Source organism: Homo sapiens, chromosome 14 (assembly GCF_000001405.40).
Source record: "Homo sapiens chromosome 14, GRCh38.p14 Primary Assembly".
NCBI classification, from domain to species: domain Eukaryota; kingdom Metazoa; phylum Chordata; class Mammalia; order Primates; family Hominidae; genus Homo; species Homo sapiens.
In genome coordinates this window covers 25,644,332-25,653,408 of record NC_000014.9, presented here as the reverse complement: position 1 = coordinate 25,653,408, position 9,077 = coordinate 25,644,332, and the positions used below count along the sequence as shown (strand labels likewise).

At 37.2% G+C, this 9,077-nt stretch overlaps 1 annotated feature.

Moving 5' to 3' along the window:
• Nucleotides 968-1,508: an enhancer, noted in NCBI's record as "NANOG hESC enhancer chr14:26121107-26121647 (GRCh37/hg19 assembly coordinates)". NCBI's record gives its function as "activates a minimal SCP1, AML or CMV promoter by ChIP-STARR-seq in naive and primed H9 embryonic stem cells {active_cell/tissue: H9 hESC(naive and primed)}" and the evidence as "EXISTENCE:reporter gene assay evidence [ECO:0000049][PMID:30033119]".

Here is a 9,077-nt window from a genome sequence, read left to right as displayed (position 1 = left end):
TCACATCTCTCTGTGACTCTGACTCTCCTGCATCATCTTTCACTTGTAAGAATGTTTGTGATTACACTGGGCCTATCTGGATAACTCAGGACAATCTCGCCACCTCAAAATCCTTAACTTATTTACATCTGCAAAGTCTGTTTTGCCAGGCAGATTAAGATATTTGTGGGTTCTGAGGATTAACACATTTTTTGGGAGGAGGAATTATTCTGTTACCACAAATTGTATAAAAAACCCTTATGTATCCTTCACCCATAGCCCCCAAATGTTATATTTTCTCTACAATTTACTCTTCCTCTCTTTCTACATATGCATATTATTCCTTTCTGAACCTTTTGAGAATGTGTTGTAGACAGGAAGCCTCTTTACTCCTGAATACTCAGTGTATACTTCCTAAAAGTAAGCTTATTCTCTTAATTGCCATATAATTTATCCAAATCAGACAATTTAGCCTGGCAAAGTACTACTATTTTAGCCAATCTGCTGATCTTTTTCAGATTTTGCCAATTGTCACAGTAATATCCTTTATAGCAAAAGAAAATATCAGATCATATGTTGTATCCGAGATCATATCATGTCTCTTTAGGCTACTTTAATTTGTAAGAGAGTTTCTCCTTTTTCTAATGACATGGATAACTTCTGAGAGTAAAAGTCAGTTATTGTGTAAAATGCCCCTCAATCTGGGTTTGTGGGATATTTTCTCATAATCAGAATCAGGTTATGCATTTATTGTGGAAATGCTGCAAAGGGAAAATTGTGTTCTTTCCAGTGCATCATATCAGAAGACCCCAGAAACGTTATCTGAATTTAATTTTCAGGGTCTCTTTCATAATAGCAAACCGTAACATTTATTGAATTCTTACTTTGTTTCTGGAACTGTGCCAAACACTCTACGTATATTATTTAATTTAGCACATTTGTGTTCATGACTACTATATGGGAATTCACACGACTGGTGAAATAAGATCCAGAATTTGAATTCCTCATCATTTTGACTCAAAATGCCATGCTTTTTCTATTTTATTTATAATAAAGAGAATTATTACGTCTCTACATGTAAGTTTCACTAAAATGGCCTTCACATTCACCTCAGCTTGACTACACTACAGATTGGTTTCTTCCTGACTATAGGCCCCTGACCTCCTCTTTCTTAAAGCATTTACTTTAGAAAACTTGTAATTATAAAGTCTTTCTTTGAACCTTTTAGATGTAAATCTTGTCCCAGTCTCTTGCCAGTTTTACCATCCAGAAATGTTGTGGACCTGGGAGCCATCCCTTTGAAATGCAATCATAAAGAAAGAGTCCCTATGTCTCAGTCTCTGTGGGAGGATAAGAGCCTAACTTCAATAAGTGTCAATTAGCGAACTCAGATGGTTTTATCACATTGTCTTGCCTCCCCACTAACACCCTCCAGCACTTAAAAATGCTCCTGCCTTTTGTTTCAGTGGAGTTGAGTTCCACCTCTCTTCCCAATTACAATAGTCCCTTTTCCCTATTGGAATAGTCTTCCAATAATGTCTTCTCTACCTGTTTAACTTCTCTGGTGCAATATTTCCTTTACAATTTATATGAAAAAAAATTGATTAAAGTCAATGTTCCTCAACAAGAATAAAGTAAGCAATGTCAAATACATCAGTTTTAGCTATTGTTATTTTAATGACACCTGAATTACTCACGTTACTTGAAAGCTCTCACTTCGGCAAAGCTATGATCTTGTTTTAAACAGAAAATTGTACCTCCCTGTTTTGCCGTATCAATGAACATCTAACATTTCCTGCCACTCATTTTCTAGGAATTGCTATGCACATGGGTTATTGGGAGCCCCACGTTAGTCCCTCACTTAATCCCTAAAGCATTCCCGTCTTTGCTTCATGACTTAGGTTTCTGTCATTTGCAAAAAGAAATTCTACTAAAGTTCTCATCATTTTAAAATGTCTTTCTACTACTGCCTTAGGATGTAAGTTATTCGTTTGGAGGTACATGTAAGAGTGTCTTTGACTCTCCAGAAACTTTAGGGCAGATGTCTGTCTTCAGATTTCTACATTCTCACTTTTTTGGCCATATGCATGGAGGGTGAGGGGAAAGAAAGGGTGTGTGTTTTCCAGCAGAAAACAATGATTTTTGGTATCCCAGGAAGAGAGATGCCAGATGAATATATTTACTACTAATCCTCAGATTCCAACTCCATAATTGCCTTGTTTTCTGTTTAATTTATTGTTTTGTCTTCTTGGTATCCAAATTTCACAATTAACTCTTTTATAAATGAATTTTTTATTATTCTCAGAATATTTATACTTTTTTCAACTTCTTATGTCTATTTTATCCAAGTTTTCTTGATGCTTGTCTGTGTTCTTTTCTCTTGTATGTCATAGAGGCTTTATTCTACAATGAAAGCCTGGCTCCCCCTTCATATTTAAAAGTAAGGCACTAAAGGCAGATGGAAATTTCCGTGTGTTCCTTTAGAGGTTTCCACCAACTGAATGTGGTCATTTAATTAGTGGACTTCCGAACAGTATTATCTTCAATTGCACTTTATCAATGAGAAATCCTACAGCTTCCTACCTATGGGTGTAAGCCAGGGAGCAGGACTCTGGGTGCTGAGGGTATGATTCAGTGTCGGGGGCTAGGAAGCTAGGAAGCTAATGATTTGATATAGAGACTGATTTGACCCCTGTTTTCAGTTTCTATTTCTGTGTGCTTGATACTGGTAAGTCCAGGGTTTCTTTGGTTCAATTTTCCAGCCAAAACTCTTGTTGTGTGTGTGTGTGTGTGTGTGTGCGTATCTTATGTATCTGTCATGGGGGAGATAGAGGGAAGTGCTAGTCACCTGTTTGCAAGAGTTGGGGAGGAAAAAGGGGAGCTCCAAGGCTCTTTATACATACTGTCAGAGGTGTTTGAACAAGAGCAGCTCCATCTTGAATAAGGGCTGGGTAAAATAAGGCTGAGACCTGCTGGGATGCATTCCCAGGAGGTTAAGGCATTCTAAGTCACAGGATGAGATAGGAGCTTGGCACAAGATACAGGTCATAAAGATCTTGCTGCAGTAAAGAAGCCAGCTAAAACTCACCAAAACCAAGAGGGCAATGAGAGTGACATCTGTGCATCCCCACTGTTACACTCCCTCCAGTGCCATGACAGTTTACAAATATCAGGATGTTACACTATATGGTCTAAAAAGGGGAGGAATGAATAATCCACCCTATTTAGAATATAATCACGAAATAACCATAAAATGCTGGGCACATGGCTCATGCCTATAATCCCAGTGCTTTGTGAGGCAGAGGCAGGAGGATCACTTTAGGCCAGAAGTTGAAGACCAGCCGGGTAAACATAGCAAGATCTTATCTCTAAAAAGACATAACCATAAAAATGGGCAATCAGCAACCCTAAGGGCTGCTATACCTTTGCTTCCTTAATTAACTTCCTTTCACTTTACTATATGGATTTGCCTCAAATGATTTATTGTGTGAGATCTGAGAACCCTCTCTTGGGATCTGTATTAGGACCCCTTTCTGGTAACATCTTTCTGGTGAACCCTGAAGGGATGATACTGAAGAGATTCCCCGACCCAAAGGAAAATCGTCTGCCTGCACCAATAGGCTGACTTTGGGTAAGTGGGGTGCATATACCCGGGTAAAGGATGGGATTGGATTAGAGGCCCAACTTAGGGGAGTTAGAGTCTTTCCTAATACAGAGAGGGTTAAAGAGTCCTCTCAATAAAAGGCAAGGACACTTGATCAAACTTGGGTTTGAGGCCCATCCTAGGAAGGTTAGAGGTCTCTCTCAGTAAAGTCCCTCTCAGCTAAGAACAGGTTTGGCACTACAGGATGTTAACTGCTCTGCTCTTTGGAATAATCTCCCTTTGCACTCTTTTTTGACAGCTGTGAGTGACAGGATTAAGCATATACAGGACCATGGGACATGGGGAGTTTTTCCTCCTCAGAGGGGGAAACTTGAAGCTGATGGCTGCCTGAACTTTTCAGTGTCACTACCTAAAAGTGGCTACCTAAAAGTGGCTGCCCGAACTTTTCAGTGTCACTGCAATGGGTGGGTCTTTCTCTGGCCTCCCTGAGCTCTTCGCCTTCCCCACCCAGCAACAGGCATTGCCTTTCTCTTGATCATTTCCCTTTCTTATCTTTTCTATTACTCAGGGTGACCATCTTGCCCAGAGAACACAAGCTGAGACTCCTGGTCAGAGGTTGGATTACCAATGACTGAGCCCAACTGGGGACAAGTTTGAGCCTTGCCAATGTGATATTGAGGGCTAAGCAGAGTGGCTAATGTCTATGTTTTGTCACACATATTTTGCTCTGGCCAAAAAGAAAAACATAATTTTCCTTTGTGTTGTGGCTTGGCACCCAGGGCTGTGATACAGCTTGCTGGGTTACCAGGTTTGCTCAGGGAAGGGGAACCCAGAAGCCTGGCATAGTAAAAATTTCTTACCAAACTTCTGGTGTCTCTCTCTCTCTCTGTCTGTCTCTCTCTCTCTCTCTGCAAACTGGTTGAATGAATGGCAAAAATCATTGTTTATCACCTCTGTAAAGTTTTGATTAATGGGAAGAAGGATTCATGAGACTCATCTTGAGCTGTAGTGAATCTAGTGTACTTTGTGTGTCTTTCTGTATTGCTCTGTCATAAAGAGGGATACCTTAAGATAAAATGTGAGCCTAGGACCTCGTAAGCTTGTTGTTCAGAATGGCCCAGCGAACTGGTCAGTTCCAGCTGTGCCTGCTTATTAGACCCTAGGAAGTGCATGCTTTAAAGAGAAACATAAAAATTTGCAAGTGATAAGCCTTACAACTACAGGGTCTTCTTTCTGTCGGTGTATTTATATGTGTTGTGTGTAATATGAAAGAGTTTTGATTAATTGGCTTAATAATAAGAGCTTAAACAAAATATTTTGTCAGAAGAGTAGAAAGTGTAATCCCTTTTAGTTCATGTGACTTTTAGTAATCTTTGGGAAATAAAAACAGTTTTAAAGATTATTAGTAAAATAAAAATTTCTTCAAAAATGTAAACATTTGGTCTAAATTGTGCAGGTCAGATATAACGTAGGCTAAATGCTTTATCATGATAAACTGCTTCTTTGACTTTTGAAAATTGTTCATTTTACTTATCTTGAAGCCATTAGATTCTAGATAAGGCCTAGGGACATGTGGAATTAGCCATATCTCCTAGCTATGCAAAGAAGGTTATAAAGATCCTTATATAAGAAAGGATCATGTATGGTAAATTCTATTTCTAAAGTAAAATGACTGGTTGCTTAAAAAGATATTTAGGTCAAGTCAGAAAGTCCAAGCACATTGTATACTGTCTGTGTAAGTCATGAAAGAATTTGTGAAAGGAATTTATGCAAGAAATGCTGTACAATTTGAGGGTTGTCAGGCTTCCTACATGCTTCATAATATGCCACTATGACTCTTAACCATACAGCTTGCCTGCTTTGCAGCTAGGTAAGGCCTGGGACATGTGGAGTTAGCCATGCCTCCTAGCTATGCTGGAAACAGTGAGATGTTATCTGCACTTCCATCTGGGTCCTAGGCTCCACACCTGGTTCATAATTAAAATCGCTGACTTACCAAGGTTTTCACCAAAAGTAAAAGTCACTAAGAGTTAACATTATAATATGTAATTGAGACTACTTAAAAAACAGTTTTACATGCAAGGTGTGTAAGAAAAGTGAAATGTGTTTTTGGTAAAAGATTATAAGAAGGCACAGGAATGTGGATTTCTTGCCTAAGTTTCAAGGGTTAAAGGATTGTTTTAAGTTAGATAAGCTGAAGCTTTGAGAAAATTGTGTAAGGTTTGTGAAAAAATAAGCTTGTAAAAGAAATTCTGTGTGTGCACATATTGGCTAAAGTAAAAGAGGTGTTATTCAGTTTTTCCATAAATTGAACATTGGAATAAAAGCACAACAGGTTTTTCTTAGAGCATTTATCTGTTCTTTAACAAAAATTGTAAAGTGTTATAAAAGGTTTATAAGAATCTTACCTTATGTTCAAAGTGAGTAAGGTTAAATAGATTGGTTTATAAGGTTTTATTAAGAATTAGGATTAACATTAATAGTACTAATGTAAAGGTAAAATTTGGCTTATTTGGTATAAAAATCATACAGGAAGCATTGTCAAATAAGAAATGGTATTTGGCTTTCTTTGGGCTGTATTTATATAAATATATTATTGGTATGTGTTCCAAAATTATGGGTAACTACTATAATTCTGATATGACTTAGTGTACATTATCAGTAATAATTATAATTATAATAAATTATGTGTGCCACAAAAGTAACGAAAATTTCCATATCAATTGTGGCTTTAAGAGAGGCTATCCTAAGACTTCTTATCATCTAGAAACAATTGTTGTCTTGTTTCAATCCTCTTTAAAAGATGGTTTTATAATCAACTATAGAACTCTAACAGGTATTCTTAAATGCAGATTTCTGATAACTTTGGAAATTGTAACATCAAAATGGGGAAAAAACTTTCAGGACTCTCATGGAGAGCTGAAATGTTCATGAATGTCAAGCAGAAAAGGAGTTAACTATATTGACTAAACAGATAGAAGACTGAAGTAATATTTTTTTGCTTTGGTTAAAATGTTGCTGATCCATTGTTTTGTTTTTCAGAGTCAAGGAAACTTTTCTTTTGAGCTGTTTACAGCTTTTAACAATTGAGTAAAGTATATTCCTATAAACAAAATTTGGAGAATATTTGTTTCTGTCTACTTAATTTCTCCAGAATTTGGAAACTTTTTGTGAGTATTCTTAATTTATGGCAATATTTGCATAAATGCAATAAGAATCTGTTTTCTTTTGCAACAGGGCACAATTGAAATGGTTATTTTACCAAGGCTTTGGCTGGAATGATATGCTTTCCTTTAAGGAATAAAACTTGACTTGTAGAGCCAATAAAAGCCCCTTGGGAAAACTGGCCTCATCCCTTGTCTATACAGCACAGTCCCTGTGCAGGGTTCCTAATCTGTGGTAAGTAAAGAATGTCACTTTCTCACAGGCCCAGGAGCCCCAAGTTATCTTGGGACCTTAAGAAGAGAGAAATTTACTCAATTCATAGGTATTTGATGGTACGAACTTATGGCTGGTCTCAGCTTTAAAAAAAGCTTTATCTGAAACTCCTTCTGTGGAACAAAGTTCCATCAAAGCCAATTTAAAATGCCTATGTGAAAAACAATTATTCTTGCTGCACTTTATACAAATAATCAGACCAAGGGTAATAAAGTAAATCAGTATTAGCATGATTTGTCTTTAGTAAAAATTGGAGACCAGAGAGAGAAAAATTGTTTCAAGAACTATGGTATACCTATTATTAGATTCTAGTATCATCAGTTGTTTTAAAGTTTGTTTCTGCAATTTAGACTGACTGCCTATTCCTGTGAAACAACCAGTGATCTCTGATCTCTGGCTGCAGCTCAGAAGAAACAAGAGGAATGGGTAATGTAAAAATCTGGATCAGCATTCTAATTCTATTGGAATCAGCTGGCAACCCCATATCAACTTGGTTCCAACAGTTGCCCAGTTCATGAGAAGCCTTCTAATTTAGTTTACTTGGCATAATATTACTTATTTTGCTTTACTGTTGTGGAATACATTGCTGTTTTACTCTTTGTGTAGGAATGCAGAATAAGCTTACTGAATGTTCTCTTAAATACTTATTAATCTTCCAGATATCACCTTCTGCTGGAACTCAGAGTTATGAATGGCCCCTCAGCATACTGATGCTTTCTGACTAAGCTACTCTTTACCCTGAATAGAAGAGATGCTAATAGTTAGGCAGGAATGTCATCACCCCTATTCAGCATGAAGAAGTTACAGAAGATGGATCTTCGTCCCTCTGCAACTGTTAGGATTAAGGGTTCTCTTATAAAAGGAAGGGGGGATATGTCAGAGGCTCTTGAGCCAGAGCAACTCCATCTTGAATAGGGGCTGGGTAAAATAAGGCTGAGACCTGCTGAGCTGCATTCCCAGGAGGTTAAGTCATTCTAAGTCACAGGATGAGACAGGAGGTCAGCACAAGATACAGGTCATAAAGACCTTGCTCCAGTAAAGAAGGCAGCTAAAACTCACCAAACCAAAATGGCAATGAGAGTGACCTCTGGTCATCCTCACTGCTATACTCCCACCAGCACCATGACAGTTTACAAATACCATGGCAATGTCAGGAAGTTACCCTATATGGTCTAAAAAGAGGATACATGAAAATCCACCTCTTGTTTAGCATATATTCAAGAAATAACCATTAAAATGACCAACCAACAGCTTGGGGCTGTTGGGGAATGGAGTAGCCATTCTTTATCCCCTTACCCCTTACTTTCTCAATAAATTTATTTTCACTTTACCGACTTGTCCTGAATTCTTTCTTGTGCAAGGTCCAAGAATCCCTCTTGGGATCTGGATTGGGACACCTTTCGGGTAACAATATTTTTGGCCAGTTTTACTCTTTTCCTATGTCCATAGTGCTCCTAGTTCTGGAGTTTTCCTGAGGTTCTACAGCACAAGCAAGAATGCTGTTGCTGGTTCACTTATAGAGACACCTTCCATTTCTCTGTTTTCATTGGTTAACAATTTTTTAAAAATAGTTTATACTCATTTTAATGGGGTTTTGGAAAGATGCAAAGATAAATGCAAGAGTTCAGTCCACCATGTTTAACTGTTAGTAGTATTTCATTTTTAAATTTAGATTTCTCCACTTTAATGCCAATAACTTTATAGCATCTCTTTTCTAATTAGATTTAACTAACTGGAAAACAGGTATATTATCATAAGTGTTCTTGTAAATAGTATATATATATATATATATATATATATATATATATATGTTATCTATGTGTATATATTTAATATTTGTTGTGACTTTTATAATAATCATATTGGCAGATACTTGGAGCATTTACATTTCCCAGGCACTGCAATAAGCACTTCACATGGATTAACTTATTTATGCATCATAACACTCTTGTTTCATCATCTGTATATCAGACACAATACAGATGATGAAACTGAGATGCTCAAAGGTTAAATAACTTGCCTAAGGGTCACATAAGAAAGTCTTTGAGCTAATATC